Source organism: Homo sapiens, chromosome 16 (genome assembly GCF_000001405.40).
Source record: "Homo sapiens chromosome 16, GRCh38.p14 Primary Assembly".
NCBI classification, from domain to species: domain Eukaryota; kingdom Metazoa; phylum Chordata; class Mammalia; order Primates; family Hominidae; genus Homo; species Homo sapiens.
In genome coordinates this window covers 2,252,944-2,273,912 of record NC_000016.10, presented here as the reverse complement: position 1 = coordinate 2,273,912, position 20,969 = coordinate 2,252,944, and the positions used below count along the sequence as shown (strand labels likewise).

General features: G+C 52.5%; 1 protein-coding gene, 2 long non-coding RNA genes and 2 other non-coding genes across 13 annotated transcripts in view, besides 3 other annotated features; 1 reads left to right on the top strand and 4 right to left on the bottom strand.

Moving 5' to 3' along the window:
* MIR3677HG (MIR3677 and MIR940 host gene) lies at positions 841 to 5,250 on the bottom strand. The gene is made up of 3 exons (NR_132988.1): positions 5,070 to 5,250; positions 2,022 to 2,237; positions 841 to 926 (listed from the first exon to the last, which is right to left on the bottom strand). It is a non-coding gene; the product is annotated as an MIR3677 and MIR940 host gene (long non-coding RNA).
* MIR940 (microRNA 940) lies at positions 2,073 to 2,166 on the bottom strand. The gene has a single exon (NR_030636.1). It is a non-coding gene; the product is annotated as a microRNA 940 (primary transcript).
* On the bottom strand, positions 3,141 to 3,200 carry MIR3677 (microRNA 3677). The gene has a single exon (NR_037448.1). It is a non-coding gene; the product is annotated as a microRNA 3677 (primary transcript).
* Positions 5,140 to 5,589: a silencer, noted in NCBI's record as "silent region_7040". NCBI's record gives its function as "represses an Ori minimal core promoter by ATAC-STARR-seq in GM12878 lymphoblastoid cells {active_cell/tissue: GM12878}" and the evidence as "EXISTENCE:reporter gene assay evidence [ECO:0000049][PMID:35858748]".
* Positions 5,720 to 5,979: an enhancer, noted in NCBI's record as "active region_10263". NCBI's record gives its function as "activates an Ori minimal core promoter by ATAC-STARR-seq in GM12878 lymphoblastoid cells {active_cell/tissue: GM12878}" and the evidence as "EXISTENCE:reporter gene assay evidence [ECO:0000049][PMID:35858748]".
* On the top strand, positions 5,787 to 20,797 carry RNPS1 (RNA binding protein with serine rich domain 1). 9 transcript variants are annotated; one of them, XM_005255048.3, is made up of 8 exons: positions 5,787 to 6,338; positions 9,153 to 9,340; positions 9,582 to 9,737; positions 10,626 to 10,817; positions 11,071 to 11,173; positions 11,482 to 11,635; positions 18,187 to 18,328; positions 19,850 to 20,797. In XM_005255048.3, exons 2-8 carry the CDS (start codon positions 9,270 to 9,272, stop codon positions 19,947 to 19,949), a joined length of 918 nt encoding a protein of 305 aa, XP_005255105.1. In that variant the 5' UTR covers positions 5,787 to 6,338; positions 9,153 to 9,269; the 3' UTR covers positions 19,950 to 20,797. The 9 variants fall into 9 exon arrangements, 8 of the variants coding, with proteins under 8 accessions (XP_005255105.1, XP_047289472.1, XP_005255106.1 ...); XM_047433516.1 differs by having other exon boundaries at positions 5,787 to 6,704; XM_005255049.5 differs by having other exon boundaries at positions 5,787 to 7,803.
* Positions 19,398 to 20,171: an enhancer, noted in NCBI's record as "H3K4me1 hESC enhancer chr16:2303743-2304516 (GRCh37/hg19 assembly coordinates)". NCBI's record gives its function as "activates a minimal SCP1, AML or CMV promoter by ChIP-STARR-seq in primed H9 embryonic stem cells {active_cell/tissue: H9 hESC(primed)}" and the evidence as "EXISTENCE:reporter gene assay evidence [ECO:0000049][PMID:30033119]".
* The window catches only part of LOC107984839 (uncharacterized), a 1,554-nt gene continuing 1,274 nt past the window's right edge, over positions 20,690 to 20,969 (bottom strand). The window contains exon 2 of the long non-coding RNA XR_001752052.2: positions 20,690 to 20,931. This is a non-coding gene — a long non-coding RNA (uncharacterized LOC107984839). The remainder of the gene's footprint in view (positions 20,932 to 20,969) is intronic.

The following is a 20,969-nucleotide window of genomic DNA, read 5'->3' as shown; positions in this document are numbered from 1 at the left end:
GCCCAGGGATAGGAGTGACCGGCCTATCCACGCTCCACCCTAGACCACGGAGGGGGGCCACACATTCTCTACGGACACTGTCCCCAAACAACTGTGGCATCTGACAGAGCCAACTCCTGCCCTGCTCCCAGTTCACCTTAGACCTGGGAAACGAGGTTTTGACTTCACTGCTCTGCATGGCCTGGTGCAGGGCTCCCGTGAGCAGACGGCCCATGGGCCACGAGCCAGGTATGTGGAAGAGCCTGTGCCTTCTGTCCTCCAGGCCGGCCCAGTCCAACGGCGTGGCTCAACTGAAACCACACCCAGAACTCGGAGAGGGGAAGACCTCGCGGTGGGGCGGGCCCAGGCCAAGCCCCTCCACTGCCATCACAGGTTTACAGCGGAGCAGAGGGGCAGGCCGGATACAGGCAGCCCAGGCCACAGGTCAGGGGACCCACACCAGGCCACAGGAACAGGCTTGCTGAGGGTATCAGAAAACCCCAGGTCACAGTGGTTTGAAAAAGAAGTTTATTTCTCAGCCATGTAGGCAGGAGGAGGCAGTCCAGCACTCGGTCACCTGAGGTCTCAGGGAGGCAGGCTCCATCTGCTGCCCCGTCATCCTGGTTCACGCCTCCCTCCTCATGGTCACCTCTGTGTTCAAGGAAGTGCTTGGCCGGGCATGGTGGCTCACGCCTGTAATCCCAGCACTTTGGGAGGCCGAGGCAGGCGGATCATGAAGTCGAAAAATCAAGACCATCCTGGCTAACACGGTGAAACCCCGTCTCTACTAAAAATACAAAAAAATTAGCCGGGTGTGGTGGCGGGCACCTGTAGTCCCAGCTACTCAGGAGGCTGAGGCAAGAGAATGGCGTGAACCGGGGAGGCGGAGCTTGCAGTGAGCCGAGATCACGCCATTGCACTCCATCTGGACTACAGTGAGACTCCATCTAAAAAAAAAAAAAAAAAGGAAGTGCTCAAGTTCAGGCCGGGGTAGGGTGTGTGCAGTGGCCTCCGTCAAGTGTGTGTCACCCCCAGGCAGCTCCCTGCTGCGCCTGGACCCAACTGTGCCCTTGGCTCACTCCATCTTGCTGGGTTTCCCATCTCTGTCTTACTGGCTGCTTTCAGAGACCAGGCCCAGAGTCCCCAGGACTCAGGTGACCTTGGCTACCCTGGAATCCTGGACTAAAGATCTGCAATAGAAATGTGTCCAGCAGGGAATGTAATGTGTCCAGCAGGGAACCATCCTGTTTGCTTTGCTTTTCTGAGTTCCTACAACCAACCGGCCAGGGCGCACTGTGGGGCACAGGGATGCAGGCCCTGGAGTATGGCCACTTCTGCCTGGGGGCGTCTGGGGGGTTTCCTGAGTGAGGTGGGGTCTCACCAGCTCCAGGAGACACCACTGCCATGCACAAGGTAGGTGTGGGGGTGGAGGATCACCTCCGTGAGGACCCAGACCCCACCCACTGTGGCTGTGGTGGAGACTGCAGGTCTGTCTCAAGGCCCCAGGCCTGACACCTGCAAGAACAGAACCTGGGGGTGACGGAGAGGGGATTCCACCAGGCCAGCCCGGGGCTTGAACCCCAGCCAGGGCAGCTGCTGTCTGCTGCCCCACCAGGTAACGCACCGACCCAGCTGCTGTTCAGCTCCCCCTCTGGGCCAGCACCATGCTCATGGCATAGGCCGGCTGGGCCCTCTGAGACCCCCACTCCCACACAGACTGGTCTGCATGGAGGCTGGTGCAGCCTGTGCCGTACAGACCCTGCCCGGCTGCACTACTGGCCAGAGCCCCCTGCAGACAGGCGGCTCGAGGGGAGCTCCACCATGCAGGAGATGGCCCAGCACTGCAGTCACTTAGGCTGCTCATCCCTCCCCGAACTGACATGTCCCTCCCTCCAGATGCCCCCCACCGCCGAACCCCAGCATGCTGGGCATGCTCTGGCCATCCCACACAGGGATCAGGGTGGGAGGGCTGGAGGCTGCCTGTCAGGGGCAAGGCCTCCTCCAGGAGGTAGGACGGGGTGGTGCAGGTGGGGTCCCCTCACCTGATGGGCCCTCGAGGCCAGGCTGTAGGCAGGCAGGAGGGGGCTGAAGCAGTGGGGTCAGGCCCGGGGAGCGGGGGCCCTGCCTTCCTTCCTCAACACACGGGGCTGCCCAGGCCCCGCTCCTGGGGCCGGGCCCACACCTCACAGACACTGGTGTTGGATGCTTCGGCTTGAAGGAGCTCCAAATGGACTAGCCGCAGCTGCCCCTGGGTCCACCTGGCCCAGGCAATACCACAGAATCACCAAGGCTCATCTAGCCATGGGCCCAAACCCAAGGCCCTAAGAGGCACCCCGGGTGCCTCAGTCACAGTCCCAGGCAGCTCAGGTCCCAGGCGGCTCACAGTCACCATCCTTGACTTCATGGTAGCAGAAATGGAGTGCTTTGAGCTTGTGATGAGCACAGGCTCCCAACCCTGGGAGAGTTCAGACATGCCCACTGGAGAGGCCCCAGGCCCTGATGATACCCACTCCTCAGACATGCAAACCTGGAGCCAGGGAGGCCCCAATGAACTGCATACTCTCCCAACAGACCAAGCTCACCCCACACCAGCGCAAGGCCCTTTCAGACCCAGCCTGGCCACCCCCATGGACCTGGCCAGCACCTCCCCCAGCCCCACCCTCTCCAGACAGGCACCAGGCTGTGGTGACCCGCCTCTCAGCAGCTCCTCCTCTGATGCCTCCCCACGGTCCAGTCGTTACCCCCTCGTCCACCTGACTGGGCTGCGCATGGCCTCAGTGCAGAGCCAGGTTTTAGTAGTGGGTAAAAGGGCTCCCTTGCTGTGCTTTACCAGAGAATGCAACACCCCCAAAGCTCCTTCATGACCCACTGTGACCTGCAGCACCACCAAGCCCATCCTCATCCCTGTGTCCCAGGCCACCAGCCTCTGAGGGCAGGCACTGCAGGAGCCACCGGGCCACAGAGGATGGAGGCAGGGAGGACATTCTGCCTTCATGAGGGCATGCTCTCAAAGACAGAGCCGCCCCAAACTGTCAGCAGGTGACCCTCCGCTCTGGGAAGGCAAGGGGAGGAGCTCAGGGCCGTGGCCAGAGCCCACGAGAAGCCCGTGCCCAGCTCAGCAGGTGACCCTCCGCTCTGGGAAGGTAAGGGGAGGAGCTCAGGGCCGTGGCCAGAGCCCACGAGAAGCCCATGCCCAGCACTGCAGGGCTCTGGCCACTGCCTAATGCCCTCCATGAAGCCCTGCCTGCCCTTCCAGCAAACCAGGGCCCCTGAGGCTCCAGAAACCCCAGCTCCACTGCCCTCAGCCTCCATGGCCTTAGCAGCCTGGCTCTGGGGCTGAGCTCCTGGAAGGGCAGGGTGGGGGTAGGCTCCTGAGTTTTATTTTCTCACATTTCTTCCAGACATGCTTCTGCTGATCCTCAAAATGGCAAAAGCCAGGATGCTCAATTCTCAAAGCTCAACAGCTGATGGCACATTTGATAACAAAAATCAGTAATATTTAGAAACAAATTTGATTAAATTCGTAAGTGCCTGAATAAATCATACTTGTAGATTTAATATAAAATGTGTGAAAGCTTATTCGCAGGCCAAATGACATTACTGCAGAGCATTAAAAACCAGCAGGGGGAGGGCTGTCGGCCCAGCTGGTGCTGCGTCACGCCCACCCATGTCATGTGGGGTCACCAGGCTGCCCCTGCCCACCAGGTGTCAGTGGGGCCCTGGGCATGGGCTCTAGGTTTGGGGCCTTTTAGCACCTCTGACCACTGGACTCCAATGCCACCTCAGAGAATTCCGCCTATGCCTGCCTGGACCACCGAGGCTGCCCCCTCCCCTAGCGCCGACTCTGGGGCCCCTTCAGCAGGGGGGCGGCCCCTCTGTTCCACTTAATCTTCCATGCCTGGGCACAGCAGGTGTGACAGTAATGCAGAGACTCTAACTCACTTTACATGTCATCAAACCCAAATCCAACGGGTACCCAAACCAGACTGATGGGCCTGCCAGCCTCCACCCACAGGAACACACTGGTGACTTACTGCAGCAGACTCGGGAGGTAGCTCCTCCTCCTAGCTGCCTTTGTCCCCAACTCCTTGGACATCCCTTAGCCCAGGGTGAAGGGTCAAGGGCACACTTGACACCCTCGGACAGGGCCAGAGGGAGTGGGTCTCGGCAGGAAGTCACCAAGAGCTGGCTTCCCACACAGGGAAGAGGGCAGTGATGGCAGACCACATCCCCACTATCTATCCATCCATTCACCCACCCACCCACTCCGGGTCACCAAGCTGCACCCTGTCCTTTGCTCTGACATCTAAAGTCTCCAAGTCATGCTGGTTCTCTCCTCCCAAAGATCGGCTTGGATCTGTTCCCTTCTCCCTTCCTTGCTGCCACGAAGCTGTTCAGACAAAGTCTGAAGCTCAGCGCACCGTCAATCCCTCCACAAATAACCACAGGGCAACGACTGCCTGACAGGCACAGCAGAGAACAAAACCCGCCCTCGGCCGGGGGCGGTGGCTCACGCCTGTAATCCCAGCACTTTGGGACGCCCAGGAGCGAGCACTTTGGGAGGCCAAGGCGAACCTAGGAGCGGATCACGAGGTCAGGAGTTCTCGACCAGTCTGGCCAACATAGTGAAACCCTGTCTCTACCAGAAAAATACAAAAAAAATTAGCCGGGTGTGGTAGTGTGCGCCTGTAATCCCAGCTACTCGGGAGGCTGAGGCAGGAGAATCGCTTGAACCCGGGAGGCGGAGGTTGCAGTGAGCCGAGATCGCGCCGCTGCACTCCAGCCTGGGCAACAGTGCGAGACTCTGTCAAAAAAAAAAAAAAATCCGCCCCGTCAGTGTGGGGAGTTGACGCGGAGCCTCCTGCCTGCACCCCTACAGCGTCACCCCCTCCTCTGTCCCTGCCAGAGGCGCCACCTCTGGACTCTCCCAGGGTCGGACCCTGGTCGACAGTGCTCCCTGCCCGGACCCTGCACCGGCCGATGGATGAAGCCTCGGCGCTGCGCCGTTCACACGCTCCGTGCCGCTGCCGCGAAGCTCGCGCGGGCCTGCGAGCCGGTACCCGGGCCTCCCTTCCCTGCTTCCAGCGAACCTCGGCGCCTGCTGTTCCCCCGCCGGGCGCGCCCTTCCATTCGGGTCTCAGCGGCAGTGTCACCTCCCCGGAGAGGCCCGCCGTTGCACCCCATCTCCCACTCTCAAGCTCGTCGCTCTTCCTGCCCGCACAGCCCGCCTGCCGCGCCCACCCGGTGGAGGTCCGCCTGCCGGGAGGCCGCGTCCACGGGAACACCCCAAACGCCACCAGTGGATTTTGACCGCACGAACGCACGCCCTGCCCCAGCCCGTCTCTCCGAGCTACTTCCGCCCTGCGGGCCCCCACGCCCCGCCACGCACGGCCGCAGAGCCTGCGAACCCCTCCTGTGCTACCACCCCGCCGGCCTCAGCACAGCCCGGCCCGGAGCCCCGCCTCCACCGCCGGCGACAGGGGCCGGAGTCTGCCCGGGCGGGCCCAGTGCGCCCGCGCAAGGAAAGGGGCGGGGCACGGGCGCGTTAACACCCTCCGCGCCGGAGGACGAGCCTCGGTCATCGCGCTGCCCTCCCAGGTTCAACAGGCTACCCATGTGCCCGCTCCAGTAAGCGTGCAACCAGCCCGGTCAGTCCCAGGGACTTTACCGGCTAGGAGACACCTTGAACGTCCCCAGCGCGACTCCCACAAACTGCCTTGACTCTTTAACGCTTCCTCGCTGGCGCCCATTGGGCCAGGCGTTTACGTCATCGCTGCGCGCCGGGCGGCGGCGACTTCCCGCTCCTTGACTCTGACGTCAGAGCGGCGCCGGCCTCGGCGGCTGAGGAAAGCAGGAGGAGGTGGCGGCGGCGGGAAGATGTAAGTTGGGGCGGAATCCGACTGCATCCGTGTTTCGGGGGCTGCCCGGCAGGCCCGGCAGGACGCCTCGTGAAGCCGGTCCACTCCTCAGCCCCGCAGTGCGGCGGTGGCCTGGCAGCGCGGTGCGGGCTCCGAGAAGAAAGAGTGTGGCCCGGGGCGGGCGGAGTGGGAGGTGTCGAGGCCGTGGCCCGGAAGTGGTCGGGGCCGCTGCGGACGGAAGGGCGCCTGTGCTTCGTCCGCTCGGCGGTGGCCCAGCCAGGCCCGCGGGACTCAGACCAGCGGGGAGCGCGGCCTCCGCCCTTGGGGCCCTCCCGCCGGGCCGGAGACCCAAGCCCCCAACGCCAGGCCCTGCCCTGGAAGCGCTCGCGGCCCGGCGCCTGGACGGGGGAGTTGTGAGTGAACGCGGACGGGTAGCGGCGAGGTCGGCGTGTCGGGCCGGTGTCGGCGGGCGCGGAGTTTCTTTGTGGGATGCGGTGGAAGGTCGGCCGATCCCCCCTTCGGAGTCATTAATTCAAACGTGTACTCCGCGAACGTTTCCCGGACTCCCGTGTGCAATTATCGGCGCTAGGCCGTGGGGATACGGCCCACTATGGACCGAGCACGGTGGCCGAGCTCAGTTTGATGGGTTACCCCAGAGGGGCGGATACGGGAAGGTTAAGTTTGTTGGAGGAGAAACGTGGAGTAGGCTTTTTGTCTTGATTCCGCATGAACTGTGCCTGAAATGTACTTTTAAATGGGGAAGGTGCTCTGAAGATTTGTGCCGAAACGCCCTCTCCTCGAGATTTAACTAATTGTTCTCTCCTCTCTCTGGCTGTTGGACGCGCACCTTTCCGGAGGATGGGGGAGGTAACCGAGGTCCTGAGCCGGTACCTGAACTTGGGTGAACAGAGAACCTCAACTTTTGCTTTCTAGCACTCGACCGCACCCAGCAAGGCGTCCGCTTACTCAGTGGTTCTTAGTGTTTGGAGTGCTTAAGAATAACTGGTGGTGTTTGATTTCACCAAGTACATTCGGGCAGATCTTAGTTCTTGGGGGGGTGGGGCTGGAATCTGCGGGTGTGACCTCCACTCTAGGTCTGTGCTGTCCAGCCAAGTAGCCATTGGCCACATGTGGCTGCTAAGCATGTGAAATACAGCTAATCAAGACTGAAATATTAAAACACACACCAGTTTTAGAAGACTAGGAAAAAAGCAAACTTTTATTAGATGTTTATGTTGATTATATGTTGGAAAGATAATATTTTGGATGTGTCAAACGTTAAAAATTAATTTCACCCATTTTTGTGACGTGGCTACTAAGGAATTTCAGGTGATGCTTGTGGCTCCTCACACGGTTTCTATTGGACAGTGCTGCTGCAGGTGATTCGAAGGCGGGTGGGTGCAGGAACCCAGCTGAGAGTTCAGAAATTAGTGTAACTTTGGAGACAAGTGTCTGTGGGGGAAGGAGCCTCCGGACGTGGAGATACAACTCTTGCTCCTAACATTTATCGAGTCTTTAATTAATGCCCTGGGTAACTATAAGGTTGGAACTGTAATTGTCACCATATTGATGATGAGAAACTTGAGAAAGGATAAGTGACTTGTCTAAAATCACACAGTAAAACCTCAAATCAAACCCAGGCCCTCTGGCTCCAGACTCTAAATTATACTCTGAATGATACTCACTGATTGTCCGAGGACACAAAGAGTGTCGAGGCACTATCTGCTGGGTGTCTGCAGAACCTTACTGTTCTAAAGCAAAACATTTTACCCCTGGACAAGAGCAGCAAAGGTGGCGTTCGGCCCTCCTTGGCTCTCATTTGACTGTTCAAAGCCAGGTGCTTTTCTTTCTTGGGTCAGAACGTATTTTCAGCAGCATTTTGAAGCACCCCTGGCGTGCACTGCACAGGGAAACCAGGACCACATTGGTGTGCTGTGTCCTCCTTACCAACTGGCTCTTGGAGAAGGTGAGACAGAAGTAGCTGAGACTCCATTCCTGAGATCTTCACTTAACAACTCCTGCAGCTTGTGCAGAGCCTTACTAGAAATACTGAAGGCAGAAGTCCCTGGAAAATAGGGCCCATAACTAATTAGTAATTTGTTTTTGAGTAATTTGTTACCGTTATTTGAGCACATTCTGCAGTCCAGGCATTTTGCTAAACTCTTACATGGCAGGCAGTCTCTCACGCAATTTCAATGCCTACTTTTTTTCTCCATCTTATTTTTGAAAAATGTTAAAAAAAACACAGGAAGGTCGAGTTATACAGTTAATACTCACATAAAGACCACTTAAGGGCCGGGTCTGGTGGCTCACGCCTGTAATCCCAGCACTTTGGGAGGCCGAGGTTGGCGGATCACGAGGTCAGGAGTTGGAGACCAGCCTGGTCAATATGGTGAAACCCTGTCTCTACTGAAAATACAAAAATTAGCTAGGCCTGGTGGCGTGCATCTGTAGTCCCAGCTACTCGGGAGGCTGACGCAGAAGAAATGCTTGAACCCGGGAGGCGGAGGTTGCAGTGAGCCAAGATCGCACCACTGCACTCCAGCCTGGGTGACAGAGCAAGACTCTGTCTCAAAAAAAAAAAAAAAATCAGAGGTTAATAGTCTATAAGTTACGTTTCTGCTATATTTGCTGTATGGTGTATCTAGCCACCCATCAATCTTATTTTTTCTTTAAAAGTGAATTGCAGACTTGCATGTGTCTTCCCCTGCACTCAATATGCATATTATTAAAGTACAGTGCAATAACTGCTTTTTAAAATGATTCTTCTACTGCTTTTTAGATGTTCATATGGTACATTTCATCTGCTTGCTTTTGGGTATTAAGTGTTTTGATGCTGGTACCAGTCGCTTTTGAAATGATTTTTGCTTCCAGTCACATCCAGTGTATCCTAAGGGGAAATTGCAATAAAACAGGAGATCTAATCCTATCTGGAGACCACCCTTGAGTTAGGTTTTTCTCTGTTCTGCATGTGAATGTGGTGCTGTGGCATTTTGAAAGGACTGCAGGGGCTCATCAAACTTGTGGGTGAAAACTGAATTGTTCAGCCTGTAAAATAACAGTGATGGTCTCCACCATCTCCATTTTTTAAGAAAAAGATACGCTGGGGCGACAGTTGTACCTGTGCCTCCTCTGCGGGGTAGAGACGCCTCCAGGAGCACATGGGGACTGTCCCTATGTGTTCCTGACTGTGTGGACACTTATTGCTTACCGTGCTCCCTTGCTGCCTTTTTGTGTGCTCAGCTTTTGACTGCAAAGTAGACTTGTTGCCTTGCCAATTCGTTCACTCTTTAAACCCTTTTATCTTGTTATTAGGCTGCTCTTTGGCGTAAATTGCAATCGATTAGGGATCGTTTCTCAGAATCAAGTTAGAAGTGAGAGTTCAGATAAGTGAGGCCGCCATTGCTGCTTTGAACACCTCAGAAGGGGAGAATGGATTTATCAGGAGTGAAAAAGAAGAGCTTGCTAGGAGTCAAAGAAAATAATAAAAAGTCCAGCACTAGGTAATCCTTCTGTAAGATTTTTCTAGTGCTACTTGGGGGTGCTTACTGCTAGGGACCCGCAGAAAGGGGAAAGTTGAGAATGTTCTGCATTCTACAGTGAGTGTTCTGAGCCACAGACCACTTTGCTCTGTGGTCACCTCGGGTCTCTGTGGCCCTGCTGATGCTGATCCCCCGTTTTGGGTTGTGCTGTTTGGGTTTGGTCAGAGGAGCACGCAATCTCACACTCTTCCTCACCATCCAGGGCTCCTTCACCTACCAAACGCAAAGACCGCTCAGATGAGAAGTCCAAGGATCGCTCAAAAGATAAAGGGGCCACCAAGGAGTCGAGTGAGAAGGATCGCGGCCGGGACAAAACCCGAAAGAGGCGCAGCGCTTCCAGTGGTAGCAGCAGTACCAGGTGGGGCGGGCTGGCCTGGAGCCTGGAGAGGACCTGTGCCACAGCTACACCCCCACTCCCCACAGATGGCTCGGTTTTCTTGATTATTTACAAAGAAAACACATCCTCTGATTGTTAGTAGAGACCCTAATTTATGGCAGACTGGCTAGGTGCAGTGGTGGCTCATGCCTATAATCCCAGCACTTTGGGAGGCCGAGGCAGGAGGATTGCTTGGGGCCTGGAGTTCAAGACCAGCATGGGCAACAAAACAAGAGCTCGTCTCTACAAAAAAAAAAAAAAAAGAGTAATTTGTAAAATTAGCTGAGCGTGGTGGCATGCATCTGTAGTCCCAGCTACTTGGGAGGGCTGAGGCAAGAGGATGGCTTGAGCCCAGGAGTTTGAGGAAAATAAACAAAACTAGCCGGGTGTGGTGGTACACGCCTGTACTCCCAGCTACTCGGGAGGCTGAGTCAGGAGGATGGCTTGATTCCAGGGGGTTGAAGCTGCAGTGTGCGGAGATCATGCCACTGCACTCCAGCTTGGGTGGCAGACCCTGTCTCAAAAGAAAAAATCAACCTAGCCTGGGTCAGCATCAGCCAGCAGCTGCCTTCCCAGCCTGAGTTGGCAGTTGTGACTTTTGCCAGAGTCCTTTGCCTCCCAGCAGGAAAGGCTTCTGTATGGGTAGAAGGCAGCCCATCACCTCTGTCCTGTCCCACACACAATGTGACACCTAGGGCTCTGACTTGCTGGGGGATTGGGGGGTGATGTTTTCCCCACTGCTGAAAGCAGTGAGGCCTGGAGGCACCCGAACAGCAGGTTTCTCCTGGGGGGAGCACAACAGAATTGGAGGAGGCGTCTGTACTGTGAGACTTGGTGTGTGGTGGTTGTGACCCCTCATCTTGCCCTCAGGTCTCGGTCCAGCTCGACTTCCAGCTCAGGCTCCAGCACCAGCACTGGCTCAAGCAGTGGCTCCAGCTCTTCCTCAGCATCCAGCCGCTCAGGAAGCTCCAGCACCTCCCGCAGCTCCAGCTCTAGCAGCTCTTCTGGCTCTCCAAGTCCTTCTCGGCGCAGACACGACAACAGGAGGCGCTCCCGCTCCAAGTGAGTGCCCTGCGCCTGGGAGCTAAAGTTTACAAGCTCGGGGCTACAGATTTACCATCGAGGTTATAAAAGGGACCCAAAAGGAGTCTTTCTGTGTTAATAGGATTTCTGAGACAGGAATAATGTATGTGAACTAGCAGGAAAGTCTTCCTTATGAAAACTGTCACACAAGCAGATAAGAGCTTACTCGAAAGGCGTCTAGTACATTTTGACTTGACAGAAATTGTTTCTGGTGTTTTGTTTTCTCAATCAGATCCAAACCACCTAAAAGAGATGAAAAGGAGAGGAAAAGGCGGAGCCCATCTCCTAAGCCCACCAAAGTGCACATTGGGAGACTCACCCGGAATGTGACAAAGGTGAGGATCATGGATCTCTCCTGTGGGCAGTGGGGTGTGGACAAGCAGGCCTGTGCCTGCAGATGAACTTAGAATGTAGCCTTTTGGAGGACTGGGGTGGTGGCATGTGGTTTGAGTACAGCATTGATTCGTTCCTCTTGGTGGACCATTAATACATGTGTCTGGGAGATTTATCCCAGAACAACACTGGTACTCATCAGATGGAATGTTTTACCCTGCCGAGGTTTTAGTCATGATGTGCTGAGCTCTCTGCGTCTGACGTGACTGACTGGTAGCTGGGCGTTGGCGTGACCCTTCTTTCCCTCTAGGATCACATCATGGAGATATTTTCCACCTATGGGAAAATTAAAATGATTGACATGCCCGTGGAAAGGATGCATCCCCATCTGTCCAAAGGCTATGCGTACGTAGAGTTTGAGAATCCAGATGAAGCCGAGAAGGCGCTGAAGCACATGGATGGAGGTGGGTGACCCTGCCACATAACCCTGACCTCTCAGAGACCCGCCGCCGCGAGGGGCTTTCAAACTGATTTCCAACTGGGCTGCACTTCTTTTTGTTTGTTTGAGACAGAGTTTCACACTTGTTGCCCAGGCTGGGGTGCAGTTCCTGGACCAAACTGAGGTTTGGGCTGCTATTTCTCATGGCCCAATAACAAGATGCACATTAACTGAGTAGGTGGAGTTTTTATTTCTGCAACCAGTTGCAGGGAAAAGGCCTGGAAATTATTGCCAGACCAACTTAAAATTACAAAGTTTTTCAGAGCTTATATATTTTTTAAGCTATATGTCTATACATATGTGTACATTTATGTAAAGACATAAGTTACTGACTTTTAATCTATTAACTAAGGATTGAGTCTTGAAGACCTTCCTCTGGAGCCTCAGTAAATTGACTTAATTTAAATGGCTGTGAGTGCTGGGGTAATTACCCTTGCTTTGCCTTCTGCTAAATCACAGCAGTTTGGGGAGTTTTCTTCCCAATAAAACTGGCTTAATCCTAAATGGGTCCTGACGTATTCTTCGTTATTTTATGTTTTAAGGCCCAGGAAAGGCCTAAGCTAAACTTTTGGTGGGCTTTTCTTATATCCCAGCCTTTGTATAAGGGCCTTGGCTTTTAATATTTAACTACTCAGACAGTACTAAAACACTTGTTACAGAGGCCTGCGTTAGTGAGACCTGGCCTGCCACAATCCCCACTGTCAATTTGCTCATGCTTTTTATCATGCATGTATATGTATTTATTAATCACGAGAATCGTAGGGAGATGAAGCATTGTAATCTTTCTGGCTGCTTCCTGCTGAGAGAGGGTTGTCGTCATGGGGCACCAAACACAGCGCTGGAGTGGAAGAGGTGGATTTGTTCCCGGTAGCACTTTCTGTTCTGGGGGCTTCGAGGCAGCACCTGCTGAAACGTAATAGGATGCAACAGCCACACATAGAAGTAGGTTGCTGCTGTTTTCTTCCCAAGTTTAGTCTTCAGTTTACAGGGCTTGAGGAAAGCATAGCTTAGATTTCAGTGATTTCCAATTAGGAAAAAGGAAACAAAAAAGGAAAAAATTGAGAACAGTATTTGGGTGTACTATAGTTTTTGAAACAATTTTTTTTTTTTTTTGAGACGGAGTCTGGCTCTGTCGCCCAGGCTGGAGTGCAGTAGCACCACCTCGGCCCACTGCAAGCTCTGCCTACCAGGTTCATGCCATTCTCCTCCCTCAGCCTCCCGAGTAGCTGGGACTACAGGCGCCCACCACCATGCCTGGCTAATTTTTTGTATTTTTAGTAGAGACGGGGTTTCACCGTGTTAGCCAGGATGGTCTGGATCTCCTGACCTTGTGATCCGCCTGCCTCGGCCTCCCAAAGTGCTGGGATTACAGGCATGAGCCACCATGCCCAGCCAACAATTTTTTTTGGGGGCTTCCCATTTTTATTAAAAGACAAATAGGACTGGTATTTATTAAAAGACAAGACTGGTTTGCTTTATTATATTTGGCTTAATTATTTGTATACAGTGGAGCAAGAACCATAATTTTTTCTATAGGCCTTTTATCTGAGATAATACCTTTTTAAACCCAAGCCCAGCCATGGATATGTACAATTAAATACCTGTGAGTTGGGTGAAATCCTCTCCTCTTGAGGTTCCAAGATAACTTGAGGTTTTTGTCCATTAGAAAGTGGCATGTTTTACTTCCCTCAGATTAGAAACCCTGTACAGGGACTGTGTACACAAAATAGGAGGCCGGTTTTTTATTTGTGTTCTGTTACAAAAGAAAACGGATTTTTATTGCACTTACGCAAATAACTATATTGCTATAAATTAAGAATACGTACAAATAGACTGGGCAACATGGATCACCTGAGGTCAGGAGTTTGAGACCAGCGTGGCCAACATCGTGAAACCCCGTCTCTAATAAAAATACAAAAATTAGCCGGGCATGATGGCACACACCTGTGGTCCCAGCTACTTGGGAGGCTGAGGCAGGAGAATTGCTTGAACCTAGGAGGCAGGGATTGCAGCGAGCCAAGATTACGCCACTGCACTCCAGCCTGGGCAACAAAGTGAGACTAGGTCTCAAAAAAAAAAAAAAAAAAAAAAAAAAGAATACACACACACACACAAATAGTTTCCAAATTCTGAAGAAATTAGGTAGAGAGAAACAAATATGCTCCAAGTTTTGTTCCTAGGCGTATACTTAATTGTTGATAGCTTAAAACTTTTTTTGACTTTGAAAAATAAAAGGATTAGGAATATTTTAAGCAAAAAGTTAAAAAGATTACTTCAGTGTTCTATTAGTTCAGTTTATGCAGTTAATTTCTGCCCTGCTTGATATTAATGAACGCTTTACCTTTCTTTTTTTTGAGACGGAGTCTCGCTCTGTCGCCCAGGCTGGAGTGCAGTGGCGCAATCTCGGCTCACTGCAAGCTCCACCTCCTGGGTTCACACCATTCTCCTGCCTCAGCCTCTCGAGTAGCTGGGACTGCAGGCACCGGCCACCACACCCAGCTAATTTTTTGTATTTTTAGTAGAGATGGAGTTTCACCCTGTTAGCCAGGATGGTCTGGATCTCCTGACCTCGTGATCCGCCCGCCTCAGCCTCCCAAAGTGCTGGGATTACAGGCGTGAGCCACTGCACCCGGCCTTATTTTAGCTCTTTAAGAGTCCTGAATGTTTTTTCTTTATTCTGATGTCACAATCTGCAAAGTTATTAGAAATCTGTATTTAAGAGCAACTGTTAGAACTCTATAGCTGATTATAAAACCACCTTCTAAAAAGGATTAAAACAAGACAACAATTGTTTATGGATGACAAAAAGGTTTTAGGGCAGCCATAGTTAAAGACACAATTGACGAAATTTGTTAGCTCTGTGGCACACAATAATTTAACATAACAATTATAATTATTACTGATCATGTACACTAGGATATATTGCAATTGTAGGAGTTTTACGTGATTTTGGGACACATATCAATAACATTTATACAAATACAGCCCAAACAAAGCCAAACCCAATTTTATATTTGGTAGTGCTTCCTGTATAATTTTTGGTACCAAATAAGCCAAATTTCACTTTTACATCAGTGTGCTGTTAATGTTAAAACCCAATCCTTTTTTTTTTTTTTTTTGAGACTTTTTTCTGCTCTTGTTGCCCAGGCTGGAGTACAATGGTGCAATCTTGGCTCACTGCAACCTCCGCCTCCTGGGTTCAAGCAGTTCTCCTGCCTTAGCCTCCCGAGTAGCTGGGATTACAGGCAACCTCCACTATATCCAGCTAATTTTTGTATTTTTAGTAGAGACATGGTTTCACCATGTTGGCCAGGTTGGTCTTGAACTCCAGACCTCAGGTGATCCACCCGCCTTGGCCTCCCAAAGCAGCTGGGATTACAGGTGTGAGCCACTGCGCCCGGCCTAAACGTAATTTTAATGCTTAATTTACAGAAAAACTAGATGATACCCCTTTAACTTTAGCCAGCATGTTTACATACAGAATTTTCTTTACAATCAACCTCCCACACCTTTTTTTGAGACAGAGTCTTGCTCTGTCGCCCACGCTGGTGTGCAGTGGCATGATTTTGGCTCACTGCAACTTCCACCTCCTGGGTTCAAGCAATTCTTCTGCTTCAGCCTCCCCAAGTAGCTGGGATTACAGGCTCCCGCCACCACACCTGGCTAATTTTTGTGTTTTTAGTAGAGATGGGGTTTCACCATGTTGGCCAGGCCTGTCTCAAACTGCTGACTTCAGGTGATCCTCTCGCCTCAACCTCCCAAAGTGCTGGGATTACAGGCGTGAGCCAACGCGCCCGGCATGGATTCCAGTTCTTAGTGGGTGTGTGATTACCGAAAAGATGTTTTAGGAACACCTTTTTTTTGTAGCTCCAGTTTAAAGGAACACTATTCTTGGGGGAAAAAAATTAGCAAATATGCGTAGATTAACATTTTAGAGAGTTTCCAATCTGTTAAAAGCTTAAGGATCAAATTCAGTTTTCTTACATAGAATACATTTGGCTTTTTATATGGGAATATTTCCTTTAATCATTTCTGAGAACCAGAAGTTTCCCAGTATTTCAGCATTTTTAGTTTATTTTGCTGAGTGACTGGATTTACTGAATCTATACAGTTTATTTCTTAAACACTTGTATCTCATAACCACTCATGACGTTTATAGCTATTTGTATCTGGCAGAATGGTTTTAAAAGCACATGGACCCTTGTGAATAGTTTCGGGTGGCATTTTGTCCTCAGTGCAGCATTTTGAGGCATGTGGAGTCATCTCTGCTCCACTCCCTGCTGCTGTGACTGAGGCCGCTGGCACTGAGAACACAGCCCACAGTGCTGTCTGGGCTGCCAGGCCTGGTGGGGAGTGGAGTGTGCGTGCCCCAGAACTTTCCGTCTTCCGAGGCCCTGTTACAAACTGTATAAGTAGCTTAGCTGGTTTTTTTCAGTAATTGCCCTTCAGGCATTAGGAAAGTTTCCTTGATATTTGGCTAACTTTTCTTTCAAGTTTCTTAAGTCCTGAAATGGGTTAGGAGCTCTGTGCGCTCACATCAGCTGTTGGCCTTGTAAGTCACACCTTTGCTGTGGAGTCTGCTGATTATCTGCTGTTTGACAGTCTGAGTGCTTGCTGAGCTAAAAACCCAGGGGACCCGGGTACCTTCTGGGTGGGCGTGATTACAGACATTCCAACTTTTCGTAAGATTCTGGTAGGATTTTTTTTGTGTGTCTCCCCTTCTGTCTTTGAATGGAGTGAGTCCATGCTGTCTCCATAGGAGATGAGAAGGGGTTGGCCTTTACTGGCAGCTACACAGAAGATGGATTTTTCTTCATTATTATAGAGTCAGTGCTGTGAAATCCCTAATTTGGGCTAACTTAGGCTGAGTTTACTGAAGTTAAACCTCTTAAGTATGTTCTGAATACATAGCCACATGCCGGAGTTAGTCCCCATGTGCCTTAAAGGTAGTTGAGAAAACAAAAGAGCCCTTTACCCCTTAGGGCACAGAAGGGGCTGCGCTTGGGCTCCCAGTATCCCCAGCTACCAGACAATTCTTGAGGTCGGGGTGCATGCTCCCCTGGGGTTCCTGGGTTTGCACCTCTATTTCCTTTCCTCTCTCCCTGGAGCCCACATCCCACACTGCCTCTCCTCGCTTCATGCACATGGCGTGTGTTTCAGTGCCATCTACATGCAGAGCCACCTCTCTGAGACTGCTTGTTTCCAAACACAAAGTCTTTGGCATCTCCTAAAATTTCCTTCATGCAGCTTCCCACCGCAGCCCCACCTCTCCGTCAGTGGAAGTTCACACCTCACCACCCCCATCCCATCCATCACCAAGCTCTGGCAATTTTACTTCCCAGCTGTCCCCTGAATCCTTCCGTTTCCCTGCCAAATCATTTGATGTTGATTCAGGCCCCTCTCAGTGCTGCAGAGCCCTCCTAAGAGAACTTCTCCCACTTCTCTTAGCCCCAGACCCAGCTTCCCTTGGTTGGAGGAGAAGGAAGCGCAAACGCGGATACTGCCTGCATGGTCCTGCGAGGAAGCCCCACCCTGGCCCTGGGGCCTTCTGTTTGCCTGTCACTCGCTCTCGATGCTACCTTCTCTCACCAGTGCTTTGGGTCCTTCCCAGCACAGGGCCCAGCATAGCCCTTCTCTTCCACCTAGCAGATTCCAGCACATTCTTTACTTTTCTTTTTTTTTTCTTGAGACGGAGTCTCAGTTGTTGCCCAGGCTAGAGTGCCGTGGCATGATGTCAGCTCACTGCAACCTCCTCCTCCTGGGTTCAAGAGATTGTTTTGCCTCAGCCTCCCGAGTAGCTGCGATTACAGGCACACGCCACCACGCCCGGCTAATTTTTGTATTTTTAGTAGAGATGGGGTTTCACCATGTTAGCCAGGCTGGTCTCGAACTCCTGACATTGTGATCCGCCTGCCTGGCTTCCCAGAGCACTGGGATTACAGGCGTGAGCCTCCGCGTCTGGCCTCCAGCACATTCTTTAGCTCTTGACTTGGATGACTCTTGACCTGGGAGGCTGCCTCGACACGTGGAGATTGGTGTGTCCTGTTAGTTTTTATGCCTCTTTTCCTCATGAAACATTAGTCATGATGTTATTTCTGTGATTATCTTTTTTTTTTTGAGACGGAGTTTCGCTCTTGTTACCCAGGCTGGAGTGTAGTGGCACGATCTCTGCTTACTGCAGCCTCTGCCTCCCGGGTTCACGCCATTCTCCTGCCTCAGCCTCCCGAGTAGCTGGTACTATAGGCGCCCGCCACCTCGCACAGCTGATTTATTGTCTTTTTAGTAGAGACATTTTCACCATGTTAGCCAGGATGGTCTCGATCTCCTGACCTCGTGATCCACCTGCCTCAGCTTCCCAAAGTGCTGGGATTACAGGAGTGAGCCACCATGCCCGGCCCTGTTTCTGTGATTATCTTACATTGTCATTGTCCCCCCAGGCCTGTCTTTCACTGTGGCATGCATTGTCTAGGGTAGATGCTTGTTAGATATTTTATGACTTGCTGTCTTTTTCAACAGGACAAATTGATGGCCAGGAGATCACTGCCACCGCCGTGCTGGCCCCCTGGCCTAGGCCACCCCCCAGGAGATTCAGCCCTCCCAGGAGAATGTTGCCACCACCGCCTATGTGGCGCAGGTCTCCCCCACGGATGAGGAGAAGGTAAACAATTTGTAGTTTCAGTGGACTGATCAGGCCACAAACCTCATGTGACCGCAGTGACTTTCAGACCCTTTATTCAGCCCTGCCTGCCTTCCACTGCTGTGCGGGCTGGCAGAGAGCAGGAGCCCTTCAGAGCTCATGGAGAGAGCAGGAGGGCCACAGCTGCAGTAAGCCACAGGCAGGAGACGCCCTAGAGTTGCACCAACACAGCTTTCTGAGTCTGGGCAGTGGCGTGGTGTGGCCTTCCTAGGAGACCACTAGACCTGTGAGCCCAGGTGCAGGCCCACCTTTTTCTGAGCTAACAAGAAGAGCTAGGAGAGGGAGAAGTTGGGGGTCAGAAGAGTTGTGGGGCGGGGGTGGTAATCCCTCGGCAGAGGCCACAGTTTGGTCTTCCGTTGCCGGTGGTGAGCTGTGCTTTCAGCCTTTGGGGAAGAGGAGGAAAGCCTGGGCTTCTGCCTTGGGTCTCACAAGCACCCGTTCCCAAGAGCTCAGGGCAGGCCCATCAGGTGGGACCTGTCCCAACTTCTAGTATTAAAAAGTAAAACTTCTGCCAGGCATGGTGGCTCAGGCCTGTAATCACTTTGGGAGGCTGAGGCGGGCAGATCACGAGGTTAGGAGATCGAGACCACCCTGGCTAATACAGTGAAACCTTGTCTCTACTAAAAATACAAAAAAATTAGCCGGGCGTGGTGGTGGGTGCCTGTAGTCCCAGCTACTCGGGAGGCTGAGGCAGGAGAATGGCGTGAACCCGGGAGGTGGAGCTTGCAGTGAGCCAAGATCATGCCACTGCACTCCAGCCTGGGCAACAGAGTGAGACTCCATCTCAAAAAAAAAAAAAAAAAAAGGTAAAACTTTGCCACGTGTGGTAGCAATCGCCTGTAATCCCAGCACTTTGGGAGGCTGAGGTGGGTGGATCACAAGGTCAGGAGGTCGAGACCATCCTGGCCAACATGGTGAAACCCCATCCGTACAAAAAATATAAAAATTAGGCCTAGCATGGTGGCTCACGCCTGTAATCCCAGCACTTTGGGAGGCCGAGGTGGGCGGAACACGAGGTCAGGAGATCGAGACCATCCTGGCTAACACGGTGAAACCCCGTCACTACTAAAAAAAACAAAACAAAATTAGCTGTGCGTGGTGGCGTGTGCCTGTAGTCCCAGTTACTCGGGAGGCTGAGGCAGGAGAATGGCATGAACCTGGGAGGCCGAGATTGCGCCTCTGCACTCAGCCTGGGCAACAGAGTGAGACCCCATCTCAAAATAAATATATACACACACAAAAATTAGCTGGGCGTGGTGGCGCGCGCCTGTAGTCCCAGTTGCATGGGAGGCTGAGGCAGGAGAATCGCTTGAACCCTGGAGGCAGAGGTTGCAGTGAGCTGAGATCGTGCCACTGCACTCTGGCCTGGAGACAGAGTGATATTCCATCTCAAAAAGTAAAACTATGGGGAATTGCCCAGAAAGAAGCTAGCTTGCCCCTACAGCCTGAGCTACTCTGATGTGGTTTCTCCTCTTCCCGCAGGTCCCGCTCCCCGAGGCGCAGGTCCCCCGTGCGCCGGAGATCACGGTCCCCGGGCCGCCGCCGCCACAGGAGCCGCTCCAGCTCCAACTCCTCCCGATAAACAGGCCACTGAAGCTCTCGCCCCTGTAACTTATACCCCACCCAGCTCAGTTTTGTCACTTTTCTAGCCAAAGGAAGACCAGTAGGAAAGCAAACCCTTGACTCTGGCAGGATTTGCAGGCAGCAGGCAGCACCCCTCTGCCAGCCGGGCCCCGGCTGCAGAAGTGCTGTTGGTTTGGATGCTGTGTGCCTGTCAAGATTCCCTCCGGTTTTCTGGCTAGAAAGCTCATCCGTTTCCGGTTTCTAAGAGTCAGTTCAGTGGCAGAGCCACCAGGGAAAAGTGAGGCTCTTGGGGGTGGTTTGACCCTGCTTACCTGGGAGCACACTTTTCCCTTCCCCGATGACCTGGGATGGTGGCCAGGCCGTGCCCTTGCTGTTGCTGGGCAGTGTCCTTTTGGAAAGGGAGCTGCCCCAGGCTTTAGTGCAGCTGCCAACCCTGTTAGGCCTGGCCTCTCGAGGCCTCTTCTGACCTCAAGGGTCACACCCCCTCAAAGATCCTCTCACCCATGGTAGTTGCTGCTCGTGGTTCTGTCTGTCCGTGCACCGATGCACACACCGCACCCCACCACTGTACTCTGAAATTGGCGAGTGAGTGGAGAGCCAGCTCTGCGGAGTCATCACGCAGCCATGGTTGTGCCTGCCGTTCATGGTGGTCTTTCAGGTTATCTTGGCAACATGTACATTGCTTTTATTTTTTTTCTTTTTTGCTTTCATTGTACAGTCAGTACTATAAAATTTCTCTTTTGAGTTTTATACCTTTGTAGCATTTTAGATGACATTGTGTTTGTACTTTGTTGTGTAGAGTGGAAGAATTGTGTTGAATAAACCCAAGATCGGAATGCAAATCTAGTTCTGGGTTCACTGCCTTCTCACTTGTCCCCTCGCCCCTAGTAACTTTCTGTTCCTCACCATCCGCAGTGGCACCTCCGATGCTTTCAGCCAGGAGAACCTAGGGTTTGTGTGCTGTGGGGACCAGGTTGCTCCTAGGGTGGACAAATAGAAGGAGATGGTTTTATCGCCA